The sequence below is a fragment of the Homo sapiens genome, chromosome X (genome assembly GCF_000001405.40).
Source record: "Homo sapiens chromosome X, GRCh38.p14 Primary Assembly".
NCBI lineage: Eukaryota > Metazoa > Chordata > Mammalia > Primates > Hominidae > Homo > Homo sapiens.
In genome coordinates, this window is record NC_000023.11 from 70,798,125 (window position 1) to 70,813,343 (window position 15,219).

Genomic DNA, 15,219 nt, shown 5'->3' on the forward strand with positions numbered 1-15,219 from the left:
TGTCAGAACTAATAAATTCAATAAAGTTGCAAATCACAAAATCAACATAAAAATCAGTAGCTTTTATATGCAAACAATGAACTATACCCAAAAATTAAGAAAACAATCCCATTTATAATAGTGTCAAAAAATAAAATACTTATGAGTAAATTTAACCAAGGAGGTGAAAGACTTGCACACTGAAAACTATAAAACACTGAAGAAAGAAATTGAAGAAAACACAAATAAAGGGACAGATATCCTGTGTTCATAGATTGGAAGACTTAATATTTTTAAATGTCCATACTACCTAAAGCATTCTACAGATTCAGTCTTATCCCTGTCAACATGACAATGGCATTTTCACAGAAGCAGAAAAAATAATCCTCAAATTTATATGGAATCACAAAAGACCTAAATAGCCAAAGCAATCTTGAGCAAAAAGAACAAAGCTGGAGCCATCACATTTCCTGATTTCAAAATACACTAGACATCTAATAGTCATTAAAACAGCATGGTATGGACATTTTAAAAAGACATACAGACCAATGGAATAGAATAGAATATCTAGAACAAAATCCACATATTTATGGGCAACTGATGATCAACAAAGTTGCCAAGAACATACAATGGGGAAAAGAGAGTTTCTCCAATAAATGGTGTTGGAAAAACCTGGATATCCACATACAGAAGAATAAAATTGGAACCTTATCTCCCACCTTATGCAAAAAATCAATTAAAAATGGATTACAGACTTAAATGTAAGACCAGAAACTGTAAAATTACTAGAAGAAAACTGGGGGAAAGCTTATTGATATTGTATGGGAAATTATTTTTTAGATATGACCCCCAAAGTACAGACAACAAAAACAAAAATAGACAAATGGAATTACATCTAACTAAATACCATGTACAACTGCAAAGGAAACAATTAACAGAGTGAAGAGACAGCCTGTGGAATTGCAGAATATTATGAGACCTCAAAAAACTTTTGGAAAAATGGAATTAAAAGATTAAAATATAAATTTTATTTATCAACATAAGCTCCATCAAGTTTAAGATACCTTTGTGATACTAGCCATTTAGTCCATCCATAAAGAACTGAGGAATTTAGCTATGTCAATGCAATCTTTTTCACATTTCACATTAACTGAGGAAAAATGGGTGCCTTTTACAGATTTTTTAAGATTAGGAAACAAAAAGAAGTCAGAAGGAGCCAAATCATGTCTGTAAGGTGGATGCCTAATGTTTTTCCATTGAAATTCACAAGATTACTTTTGTTTGATGACAGGAATGAGCAGGAACATTGTTGTGGTGAAGGACACTGGTGAAGCTTTTCAGGCATTTTCCTGCTAAAATTTTGGCTTTCTGAAAAAACTCTCATAATAAGCAGACATTATCATTCTTTGGCCCTCCAGAAAAATCACCAGGCAAAATGCCTTGAGCATCCCAAAAAACTGTTGCTATGATCTTTACTCTTGACAGAGCTGCTTTTGCTTTGACTAGACCACTTCCACTTCTTGGTAGCCACTGCTTTTATTGTAATTTCTCTTTGGGATCATACTGGTAAAGCCATGTTCATCTCTTGTTACAATTCTTTGAAGAAATGCTTCAGGATTTTGATCCCACTTGTTTAAAATTTCCAATGAAAGCTCTGCTCTTATCTGCCGCTGATCTGGGCACAATGGTTTTGGCACCCATTGAGTTTGCTCCACTTCAATTTTTTCAGTCAGATTTGTATAAGCAGAACAAATTGAGATGTCTATGGTGTTGGCTATTATTTGTACTATTAATCATCACTCCTCTTCAATTAGAGCACAAACGATTAATTTTTTCCTCACAAATTGTTGTGTACAGCCTGCTGCTGCAGGTTTCATCTTCAACATCATTTCGTCCCTTCTTTTTTTTTTAACAACATAATGAGTTTATATTTAATATAGTACTTCTCCCCATGGGGATGTTACTCAATTAATTAATATAAAGTTTTTTAACATTAAATATCTTCTCCATTTCAATGTAAATATAAAGTGTTTTTTTAAAGCAAACCAAGTACCACATGTTCTCACTTGTAAGTGGGAGCTAAATGATGCGAACTCATGAACACAAAGAAGAGAACAATAGATACTGAGGTCTACTTGAGGGTGGAGGGTGGGAGGAGGGAGAGGAGTAAAAAATATAACTATTGGGTACTGGGCTTAATACCTGGGTGATGAAATAATCTGTACAACAAACTCCCATGACATGAGTTTACCTATGTAACAAACTTTCACATGTACCCCAAACCTAAAATAAAAGTTTAAAATGATAAATATAAAAATAAAGGATTTTTTTACATTAACTCTTTTCTCCACTTCAATGTTAGATACACTGAATGCATTTTTCTAAATGTTTTTTCTCCAGAGATAAAAGCATCTATGTTTGGCTATTTGATATTTAAATACAATATTAACTTGGGCAATAACAAAAGTCTAATGAAAATATGGAGAAAAGACTCCTCAATGATTCAGGAGGCAGTGATTATAACTGAACAGTGGTGATTTCTTAGGATTCTGGGCAAGAACTTCCTTCTTCCTATTTCATGTGCTTTTTTTTTTTTTTTTTTTTTTTGAGACAAGATCTCACTCTGTCACCAAGGCTGTACTGCAGTGGTGTGATGATGACTCACTGCAGCCTCGACCTCCTGGGTTCAAGTGATCCTCCCACCTCAGCCTTTCAAGTAGCTGGGACTACAGGCGCATGCCACCATGCCCAGCTTAGATAATTAGAAAACTATGAAATATTACTTATGTAAATGTCAACCATCTTACTTCTTGAACCCCCTTTCTAAGCAGCAAATACAAATTATAGGCTTAATTTTTCAGTGCATTATTTATTGTAAGGAAAACATTTTTTCTTATACATAGCAATTTGCTCTCATTTTATGGAAAACAACTAAGAATGTGGAACTCCCCTATTTACTGTTTCTTGGAAATTTTCAAACACCAAAGCTCAAGTTTAGCCTCACTAGTCCAAAGGTTTTCAGGGCAAAGTTTGATTTGGGATGCCCTTCAAAGTCATATCTGTCCATTTCTCTTTTGTGCACATACCCCCAAGCAAGCACAAATGCCTGTAATGCTGAGAACCACACCCAACATGACAGCAATTGCATTTCTGGCTTCTACTGCTTCAACAACAGGCAGCAACAAAAGCAGTAAAATGAGGACTAAGAGCCATTGTGTTGAAACAGAAGTCATGATGGTGGAATTTTGATGGCTGAATCTTGATGGCTGAAGTTTCCAAAGAAATAGTATATATATAATTCTACCTGACTGGAAATGTTCCCTTCCTGGAGCTCTGGATGCTGAGGCTAAGGGGTTCCACATGACACTGCCTTCCAGGAAGCAGCCATTACAGGAATCTCATTCCTTCTTCAAAGGAGTTATCCATTTGAAAATTTCTGATTTCTTTGGGGCATTGTCTCCATGAATGCTCTCTTTTTCCTTTCTTTCCTTTCTTTTCTTTCTTTTCCTTCTTTTCTTTTATTTTCTTTCTTTCTTTCTTTCTTTCTTTCTTTCTTTCTTTCTTTCTTTCTTTCTTTCTTTCTTCTCTCTTTCTTAAAAGGAGATCTAGTGTACAGCTTGGTAACTATAGTTCATAATACTGCATTGTACACTTGAAATTTGCTGAGAGTAGATATTAAATATTCTCACCACACACACAAAAAAAAGGCAACTCAGACAATTGGACCTCAGAGTAATCTAACAGTTGCTAAGGGAAGTTGTACTCTAGAGAAGTATTCCAGCTCATAAAGGAAAAGTAAAATGACACAATTAGAATACTATTATTTTACAAACACTGATGAAATAAAGAATCCAGGCAATGATCACTGATGGCTGCTAATATCGCAAAAAACAAAACAACTAACATACAAGACCCCTGATGGACATACACCACACCACCTGTGAAATACTTCTGCCAAAAAATCTGGTAAGAGCCTTTAGAATCTTAATTACTAATTTGTAGGAAATACAGAGAACACAGAAAAAATAAACATGTTAAGGAACAGGGGCACAAACAGCAAAATTCAAAATGCAGGAAGCTACCTGACTTCTTTAACAAATACATTGCAAGGAAAAAAAGGAAGAAACCTAGGATTAAAGTAGACATAAGAGACACCTTAATCAATCACAGTATATAGGCCTTGACAAATCAATTGTATAAGATTTTATGAGACAATCAGTGAAATTTGAACAATGTGTGTTTGATGATTACTAATAAAATTCTGTTATAATGACATGTGAGAAAAAAATGGTAACTATGTGAGGTGATGGATATGATAATCAACTTGATCGTAGTAATCATTTCACAGTGTATATATATATATCAAAACATCACATTGTACACTATTAAATACATACAATTTTAATTTGTCAATTATACCTCAACGAAGCTTGAGGGGAAAAGAAAGTAGTAGGAGGTCTTCTTACTTCAAAAGGAAAATAGTGAGCTTCTCAAGTGTTTATCAGCCACAGAGATGTCTGATATTGCTGTAGGTCAGCAGTGCCAAGGAATACAGTTAAATGACTTAGAAATAAAACTACTAGAGATAAATGAAAAATCACCCAGAATTAAGAATATGACTAAGGTTTGGAAAGTAGAGCATTTTTCTCCCAGGGAAAAAAATCTGCGAAGTCTTTCTGGTTAATAAATGTAACCCTAAAGCCTTTTGAGTTGAACTTATTTGTGTTAATATGCAATTCTTCTTTGTAGAATACAAATTTGTTACAATGAAATTTCTGTATACCTTTTCTGAAAAGCCAAGTTCAGCATAATATATGTCCTAATCATTAGATAGGACTTTAAGAGCTAAACACAATTTAAATTCCACCAGAACAATGGAGGCCACTAACAAGTTGTCTAGATTGTGAGGGAAATTTCTCTATCAACAATCTCTTCTCATCTACTTAGCCCTGCCTTCTGCCAGGAGCAGACATAGGAGCTCAGTACTGCAAGACTTACGAAAGAGGAGGAGAAGGAGGAAAAAATGGTATTTTATTAAACAAACAAACAAAAAAACTCTTAAATATATTATTTCCAAACCTTGCATTCGGATTTCAAAAATCTGAAATTTTGTATTTTATAAAGGTCTAAGAGAATTTGTCATTTAATACATTGAGGCAAATACGTTGACAATCCACAGTAAAGCGAGCTGAAGGAATTTTAATTTCATTCATAATTACAGCAGCTTTCTCTTAACCTGTGGTATCTCTAAGGGAACACGATCAAAAGAGTGTGGCAGAAAGCAAGGAGAGCAGCAGCTATTTATGAACTTTTCTTAGCAAAAGAAAAGGCAGGAGGGTGATAAAAACTCAGAAAGGTCCTGCACTGAGATGTTAACAAAAATCAAGGGAAATAAATGAGCTTTTTAAACAATACCCACTACCACTCTTTACGTTTAGTATTGCTCTAGGCTTCAATTTCAAAAAAATTCGAATATACTACAGCATTTTTATATATTATCATTTGTGAAAAATGAGGTTTTTACTTTTAGACTGAATGGGTACTTCCAAATTATATATAACCTCTAGTCTAAGATATTCACTGTTCTCAAAAGAGTTAAGCCTGTAGAATGTGTACTCATTTTCCATGACCTCCTTCTGGTATAAAATTTACAGAAAACGGTGCTTAATTAGCAGCTATTCATCTCTGCTTGCATCACCAACTGCTGCCAACAGTTTTTTTAACATGTGGATATAAAGCATGAAGAAATTATTCCAAAGGGTCAGGCGCAGTGGCTCACACCTGTAATTCCAGCAGTTTGGGAAGCTGACGTGGGAGGATAACTTTAGGCCAGAGTTTGAGACCACCGTGGTTTATATAGCGAGGCTCCGCCTCTACAAAAAAACAATGTTTTTTTTTTTTAATTGTTCCAAAGATTTAAAGATGTAGATGTTTGTTTTTATGACATTTTATTTGGGAACTTAGTAAGTAATCCATGCTTGATCCGACTGTGATACATTTTAGAATAAACTAGTGGAATGGCCACAAGAGAGTCCATCTCTAATAAATAGCAAACATCACGTAGAGATAGTAGCAGCAGTTTCCGTTTGTTAAGCAGTTTCTGTTTTCCAGGCATGTTACTGAATACTCTATAATACATGCATTATCATATGTAAACCCCACAACAATTCTAAATAAAGTATCACAATATTTAACAATTTAACACTAAGGTCTTAGATGACAACAAATTCTGACAGTCAGTCTACTGTTAGAAAAACTATTCACTGTGCTACAATTCCTACAGTTAATAATACTGATAATTATTTTTGCCTCTTTTTAGACATTAAAATATGATAATTCCTTTTAAAACATTTGTGAATATTTCACCAGGTTATTTTTATATTCCCAAAAGATGTGCAAGAAAAAATGAAGCAGAAAGATTAAAATCATATGTAATTACTAGGGCTAAAATTAAAGTTTTTCTTCTTTTCTTCAATATTATTCTAGTGATGTGAACACAAAAGACTCATACTGGTGCTATATAAATTTGTTATTTATTTAGATTTTTATGAAAATATCATTGTGGGTCAGATTATATTCCTACAAATATAGCCGCTAAGATATTCTAGTTTATAATATGGATGTCTCATCAACATATTTTCTTTCCATGAGATTCTTTAGAAAATGATAACAGATAAGAAGTCAAAAACCAATGGCGTATGTGCAAATAACCTACAAGTCATGCCATGTCAGGCCTCAACCTACTGTTATGACCAGTTCCTAGAGAACATTTATTTTTATGACTCCTAACTCACCCTCATTCTTGGCATAAACTCCAAGCTCACATCTAGTCTTAAGCTTCCAGAAGCCATCCATGGCACCAGCATCCTTTTTTTTTTTTTTTTTTTTTTTGGATCTCCCTATTCCTGCCTTCTTGGCATACTGGTCTTTTGATACATTGATGCCATAAACTTTGTGAGTGTTCTACTCCCAAATACTGTCAAATACTGGAATAGAACTCCAGCCTGTTCTATTAGGAATAGTTCTTTATATAGAGTTTGATCAATCTTTGGGCTTTAAAAAGTCTCTTATATAAGTCATTTGCATCAACATTTTGCTAGTGATAGATATGTCTGAGTATTATAATCTCAGTGCCCAGATTTGTATTTATTTTGTTAAATGACAAACATCATATTCACAAAAGTTAGACTATAGTTAATCATAGGAGTATCCCCAAATAACTAGAACTAATCCTGCACTCAGAAAGGGTAAACATTTAGTGAATTGATTTGATATATTTTACTCCATGATCCATTTTTTTTTCTTTTTTTTTTTTTTGAGACGGAGTCTCTCTGTCGCTCAGGCTGGAGTGCAGCGGTGCGATATCGGCTCACTGCAAGCTGCATCTCCCTGGTTCAAGCGATTCTCCTGCCTCAGCCTCCCGAGTAGCTGGGATTACAGGCCTGTGCCACCACACCCGCCTAATTTTTGTATTTTTAGTAGAGATGGGGTTTTGCCATGTTGGCCAGGCTGGTCTTGAACTCCTGACCTCAGGTGATCTGCCCACCTTGGCCTCCCAAAGTGCTGGGATTACAGGTGTGAGCCACCATGCCCAGCCTCCTCCATAATCTCCTGATATTCAAAGCACTGCACCTTATGTGACATCTCCACAAAAATACATTTTTCACATATATTCATTTAACTAACAATTATTGAGTATCTACTGTGTGTCAGAATCTGTGCTGGGCCTAGGTTTTCAGTGAAAGAAAGGGTTCTTGCACATTTCCTATATTTTTGTATAATTTTCTTGATATTTCCAGATAAAGCACAACACTCCAAATCTTAGTATAGTACTCAGCATACAGCGTTAAATATATACTTACTTGACTGATATTAAAATGCCAAAATTCATCTAAGACTAATAATTTTAGCCAATACTACTCCCAATCACACCTCCACCTTATACTCTGGTGTTGCCAGACAACAATAAGTATCAAAGCAACAACAACAAAATTTTCTATACTCTTGATAGAGATATAAAGGAGGAATGAAGAGAGAGGAGTAAGCTCTTATATTAAGAAGAGAACACTGGTCAGGCGTGGTGGCTCACGCCTGTAATCCCAGCACGTTGAGAGACCGAGGCAGGTGGATTGCCTGAGCTCAAGAGTTTGAGAACAGCCTGGGCAACATGGCGAAACCCCTTCTCTACCAAAGATATTAAAAATTAGCCACGCATGCTGGCACATGCCTGTGGTCCCAGCTACTTGGAAGGCTGAGGTCAGAGGATCGCTTGAGCCCAGAAGGCAGAGGTTGCAGTGAGCAGAGATCATGCCATTGCACTCCAGCCTAGGTGACAGAGAGAGATACGAAAAAAAAAAGAAGAAAAAAAGAAAGAAAGGAAAAAAGAAAGAAAGAATGAAGGAAGGAAGGAAGAACACATTTTTCTATGAACTGACAATGTGTAAGAATAATAAACAATACATGTTAAAAGAGTAAATAAATATAGCATGTTGGCTTCTGAAGTCAGAGAAGGTTTAAACTGCCAAAGTACTCTACAGTAAATATTAACTGACATCTATGATAATATTCCCGAGTTTACATTCAGTTTTTTGTTTATGTTACCTAAGCCAGAAAGAACTTTCTTCATATTTATTATTCTTCTGGGTTTCTACTCCAAAGTTGTAACAGAGATGATGAAGACTTGAAGTCTGCAATATAAAAAAAATGCATTAGATTCATGATTTCCTTAAATCCCAACACACTTTGGGAGGCCGAGGTGGCAGTGAGCCATGACGGTGCCACATCACTCCAGCCTAGGAGACAGAGCAAAACTCCGTCTCAAAAAACAAACAAACAAAAACATACTTAATGTGTCCTATACATCAAAATAAGCTTCCTTATCAAAACTTCTCAATTTGTATAAAGAAGAACTGCAAAACATTCAGGTTGGAGAATTAGTTATGTATGAAAAAGTATTACAATAAATTACTAATAGAAGTTAAAAGATGCTTTGTAACAGGAAATGAGAAACCCAATCATTGCCCAGCCAAAGGGCAGGCTAAAACCCTGCTTTTGGTTGCCAGATCCAGTTAAAGGCACTAGAGCAGGGAGTATATTCAAAGACAAAAAATCACTATTGACGAGGAGTGAGGTTGGGAAATGAATGATTTTTTTTTTTCAAAATTGAGACAATTCTAAAAATTCTGAAGTTCTAAAATGTGTCCAAAGCACTATCTAGTCAAAAGACGTATTTAGAAATAGTTTCATGGACACTCTTTAGCATCAACAATCATTTTCTTTACATAAATTAGCATTGAGATGAAAGTAGGAACAAGTATATGAATGTTGCCTTAGGAATCAGCATCTCAGTCCCTGCATTAATGCCATGTTTTACATAATTTTCATCTCTCAAAATACTGGGAAATGGCATAGGAGAAATTTTGATGCTAATAATTTATCCAAATATCCCCTCAGCATTTATAGAAACCACCTATCTAGAGAATTTGATTATACCCATATAAAAAGTCTTTTATAAGTTTTACCCGAGTAAGACTACAGAAGCAGATCCTCAACTAAGAATCCAAGATCTGAAGCAAGTTATTCATAAGTAATGTATAAAGACCTGTCTTGCTTCAAAAAAGTTTCCCTTTGAATTACAGTACATTCACATAGCAGAAGTTCAATATGCATGTCTGAGCACATTAGACCTACTATATATTTGAATCTAAAATAAAGAATAGGCCAGGCACGGTGGCTCACACCTGTAATCCGAGCGCTTTGAGAGACCAAGACAGGTGGATCACTTGAGGCCAGGAGTTCAAGATCAGCCTGGCCAACATGGCGAAACCCCGTCTCCACTAAAAATACAAAAATTAGCCAGGCGTGGTGGCAGGTGCCTGTAATCCGGGCTACTCAGGAGGCTGAGGCAGGACAATCTCTTGAACCCAGGAGGCGGAGGTTGCAGTAAGCCGAGATCGTGCCACTGCACTCACTCCAGCCTGGATGACAGAGTGAGACTCTGTCTCAAAAAAAAAAAAAAAAAAAAAAAAAAAAAAAAAAAAGAATGAATGAATAAGACCAAGTATTTGATAGCACTACAGAGTGACTATGGTCAATAATAATTTAATTATAAATTTTAAGCTGGGCACCGTGGCTCAAGCCTGAAATCCCAGCACTTTGGGAGGCCAAGGTGGGTGGGTCACTTGAGGTCAGGAGTTTGAGACCAGCCTGGCCAACATGGTGAAACTCTGTCTCTACTAAAAATAGAAAAATTAGTTGGGCGTGGTGGTGGGCACCTGTAATCCCAGCTACTTGGGTGGCTGAGGCAGGAGAATCGCTTGAACCCGGAAGGCAGAGGTTGCAGTGAGCTGAGATCATGCCACCGCACTCCAGCCTGGGCAACAGAGAGAGATTCCATCTCAAAATAATAATAATTATTATTATTATATAAATAATATACATTTAAAAATAACTAACATAGTTCAGTTGGATTGTTTGTAACACAAAGGATAAATGCCTGAAGGGATGAATACTCCATTTTCCATGACGTGATTATTATCAATTGCATGCTTACATCAAAACCTTAATGTACCCCATAAATAGATACATCTATCATATACCCACAAAAGTAAAAATTTTATATTTAAAAAAAGTAAAAGAAAATAAAATTGCAACACATTTCTCAGTAGTCAAATCAGAAGCTAGATGAGAATCTAACTGATGTTTTCAAAATACTCAGGAAAAATTATTTCCAAGTCCAAATTTTATATCCAGTGAAAGCATAAATTATGATGGTACAATAAAAATATGTTTAGACATGCAAACTCTTCAAACAATTTTCATTTCATGCAACCTTTCTCAAGAAGCTACTGGAGGATATGCCCCACAAAATTTAGGGAGTAAAATCAGAAAAAGAAAGACACAGGATTCAAGAAACAGGGTTACAATCTATGAGGGAGTTGAAAGGAATTCCCAAGTCAATGGAGGAGGAAAATCTCAAAACGATAACTGAACAGGATGCTTACACAACAATCTGTACAGATAAGAGAAGATCAGAAACTATGACAGTTATTTCTTTAAGCAAGTGAAAGTGATAAAATAACTAATACATTCTAACATACTAAAAAGAAGTTTACATAATTAGGGAAGAAACAATACCAAGTACATGAAATACTAAGTAGTCAGGAAAACCAATATAATTAACTCCAGGGAAAAACAAACTTTTGTGCAAGAAAAGAAAAGAAAAGTAATCATGGTACTTTATATGATTCAACTATGATAGTATTCATATAAACACTGGAGTGTAAACACTAAATATTAATCTAACCAAAGTTATGGTAAACTATATAGAGATGATGGAGTGACAGGAAGTGAGCATATGTGTTGGGGGTAGAGGGAAAAAGAAAAGAAACTAAATTCACCTTCTAAAGTGGGAAGTCAATATATAATATCTAAAAGTAAAAAAATCAAGCAGCACAGCAGTATAAGAACACTATGTAGATACATGGAGGTAAATACAAAAAGAGCCAACTAAAATAACTGAAAGTAGCTGTTACGTGAGATAAAAATAAGTCCAAAAGTCAGGATGGGTACTGGTGATCTTGGTTTTTCGGGGTTAGTTTTGTTTTGTTTTTTGAGATAGAGTCACTCCGTCGCCCAGGCTGGAGTGCAGTGGTGCGTTCTCGGCTCACTGCAACCTCTGCCTCCGAGGTTCAACCCATTCTCGTGCCTCAGCCACCCGAATAGCCAAAATTACAGGCACCCGCCACCAAGCCTGGCTAATTTTTCATAGGTACTGGTGATTTTGTAAAAAGACCTGTAAACTTATTTTACTCTTTAAACTATGTATAGATACACACTGATAAAAAAGAATTACATGCAACAAGTAGGCATTAAAAAGTAATATGAACAGACACTTCTCAAAAGAAGACATTTATGCGACCAACAAACACATGAAAAAATGCTCATCATCACTGGCCATCAGAGAAATGCAAATCAAAACCACAATGAGATACCATCTCACGACAGTTAAAATGGTGATCATTAAAAAGTCAGGAAACAACAGATGCTGGAGAGGATGTGGAGAAATAGGAACGCTTTTCCACTGTTGGTGGGGGTGTAAATTAGTTCAACCATTGTGGAAGACAGTGTGGTGATTCCTCAAAGATCTAGAACCAGAAATACTATTTGACCCAGCAATCCCATTACTGGGTATATAGCCAAAAGATTATAAATCATTCTATCATAAAGACACATACACACGTATGTTTATTTCAACACTGTTCACAATAGCAAAGACTTGGAACCAACCCAAATGCCCATCAATGATAGACTGGATAAAGAAAATGTGGCACATATACACCATGGAATACTATGCAGCCATAAAAAAGAATGAGTTCATGTTCTTTGCAGGGACATGGATGAAGCTGAAAACCATCATTCTCAGCAACCTGACACAGGAACAGAAAACCAAACACCGCATGTTCTCACTCATAAGTGGGAGCTGAACAATGAGAACACATGGACACAGGGAGGGGAACATCATACACTGGGGCCTGTTGAGGGGTGAGGAGGTATGGGAGGGATAGCATTAGGAGAAATACCTAATGTAGATGACGGGTTAATGGATGCAGCAAACCACCATGGCACGTGTACATCTATGTAACAAACCTGCACATTCTGCACATTTATCCCAGAACTTAAAGTATTAAAAAAAAAAAGTAAACCCCATACTTTAAAAAATAACAGTGACAACCTGAGCTAAAAATCAACATTGGTATTTGTTAGAATGAATAATAAATGTTCTAATGGCTACATAAAGAGCCTCAAAACATGGACAAATCTAACCAAGCTTTCCATATACCGTAGATATTTAGTTTAAAAGTATATGACTCACTTAAAATTTACAGAACATGTCGTTACAAATATTCCAATGAGTCATTTTTTAAAATTTTTTTATTATACTTTAAGTTCTAGGGTACATGTGCACAACGTGCATGTTTGCTACATATGCATACATGTGCCATGTTGGTGTGCTGCACCCATTAACTCATCATTTACATTAGGTATATCTCCTAATGCGATCCCTCCCCCCTGCCCCCACCCCACAACAGGCCCCAGCGTCTGATGTTCCCCTTCCTGTGTCCAAGTGTTCTCATTGTTCAATTCTCACCTATGAGTGAGAACATGCAGTGTTTGGTTTTTTGTCTTTGTGACAGTTTGCTGAGAATGATGGTTTCCAGCTTCACCCATGTCCCTGCAAAGGACATGAACTCATCCTTTTCTATGGCTGCATAGTATTTCATGGTGTATATGTGCCATATTTTCTTAATCCAGACTATCACTGATGGACATTTGGGTTGGTTCCAAGTCTTTGCTATTGTGAATAGTGCCGCAATAAACATATGTCAGCATGTGTCTTTATAGCAGCATGATTTATAATCTTTTGGGTATATACCCAGTAATGGGATGGCTGGGTCAAATGGTATTTCTAGTTCAAGATCCCTGAGGAATCGCCACACTGTCTTCCACAATGGTTGAACTAGTTTACAGTCCCACCAACAGTGTAAAAGTGTTCCTATTTCTCCACATCCTCTCCAGCACCTGTTGTTTCCTGACTTTTTAATGATCGCCATTCTAACTGGTGTGAGATGGTATCTCATTGTGGTTTTGATTTGCATTTCTCTGATGGCCAGTGATGATGAGCATTTTTTCATGTGTCTGTTGGCTGCATAAATGTCTTCTTTTGAGAAGTGTCTGTTCATATCCTTTGCCCACTTGTTGATGGGGTTGTTTGTTTATTTCTTGTAAATTTGTTTGAGTTCTTTGTAGATTCTGGGTATTTGCCCTTTGTCAGATAAGTAGATTGCAAAAATTTTCTCCCATTCTGTACGCTGCCTGTTCACTCTGATGGTAGTTTATTTTGCTGTGCAGAAGCTCTTTAGTTTAATTAGATCCCATTTGTCAGTTTTGGCTTTTGTTGCCATTGTTTTTGGCGTTTTAGACATGAAGTCCTTGCCCATGCCTATGTCCTGAATGGTATTGCCTAGGTTTTCTTCTAGGCAATACCATTCTAGGTTTTCATGGTTTTAGGACTAATATTTAAGTCTTTAATCCATCTTGAATTAATTTTTTTTTTTTTGAGACGGAGTCTCACTCTGTCACCCAGGCTAGATTACAGTGGCGCACGATCTCCGCTCACTGCAAGCTCCGCCTCTTGGGTTCACATCATTCTCCTGCCTCAGCCTTCTGAGTAGCTGGGACTACAGGCGCACCCACCACCAGGCCGGCTAATTTTTTGTATTTTCAGTAGACACGGGGTTTCACCGTGTTAGCCAGGATGGTCTCGATCTCCTGACCTCGTGATCTGCCCGTCTCGGCCTCCCAAAGTGCTGGGATTACAGGCATGAGCCACCGCGCCTGGCCCTTGAATTAATTTTTGCATACGGTGTAAGGAAGGGATCCAGTTTCAGCTTTCTACATATGGCTGGCCAGTTTTCCCAGCACCATTTATTAAATAGGGAACCGAAGGAGATAGAGACACAAAAAACCCTTCAAAAAATTAATGAATCCAGGAGCTGGTTTTTTGAAAAGATCAACAAAATTGATAGATCGCTAGCAAGGCTAATAAAGAAGAAAAGAGAGAAGAATCAAATAGATGCAATAAAAAATGATAAAGGGGATATCACCACCGATCCCACAGAAATACAAACTACCATCAGAGAATACTATAAATACCTCTACGCAAATAAACTAGAAAATCTAGAAGAAATGGATAAATTCCTCAACATATACACTCTCCCAAAACTACACCAGGAAGAAGTTGAATCTCTGAATAGACCAATAACAGGCTCTAAAATTGAGGCAATAATTAATAGCCTACCAACCAAAAAAAGTCCAGGACCAGACGGAGTCACAGCTGAATTCTACCAGAGGTACAAGGAGGAGCTGGTACCATTCCTTCTGAAACCATTTCAATCAATAGAAAAAGAAGGAATCCTCCCTAACTCATTTCATGAGGCCAGCATCATCCTGATACCAAAGCCTGGCAGAGACACAACAAAAAAAAGAGAATTTTAGACCAATAACCCTGAGGAACATCAATGCAAAAATCCTCAATAAAATACTGGCAAACCAAATCCAGCAGCACATCCAAAAGCTTATCTATCATGATCAAGTGGGCTTCATCCCTGGGATGCAAGGCTGGTTCAACATACGCAAATCAATGAATGTAATCCAGCATATAAACAGAACCAAAGACAA

At 36.5% G+C, this 15,219-nt stretch overlaps 1 protein-coding gene and 1 pseudogene across 4 annotated transcripts in view; both read right to left on the minus strand.

Moving 5' to 3' along the window:
* The window catches only part of TEX11 (testis expressed 11), a 397,485-nt gene that overhangs the window by 286,898 nt on the left and 95,368 nt on the right, over positions 1-15,219 (minus strand). For all 4 annotated transcript variants that reach the window (XM_017029649.1, XM_011530994.2, NM_031276.3 and 1 more), the window contains one exon: positions 8,581-8,666. In XM_017029649.1, coding sequence (XP_016885138.1) covers positions 8,581-8,666 — 86 coding nt within the window. The remainder of the gene's footprint in view (positions 1-8,580; positions 8,667-15,219) is intronic.
* Positions 3,033-3,212, minus strand: LOC112268306 (small integral membrane protein 30-like; annotated as a pseudogene).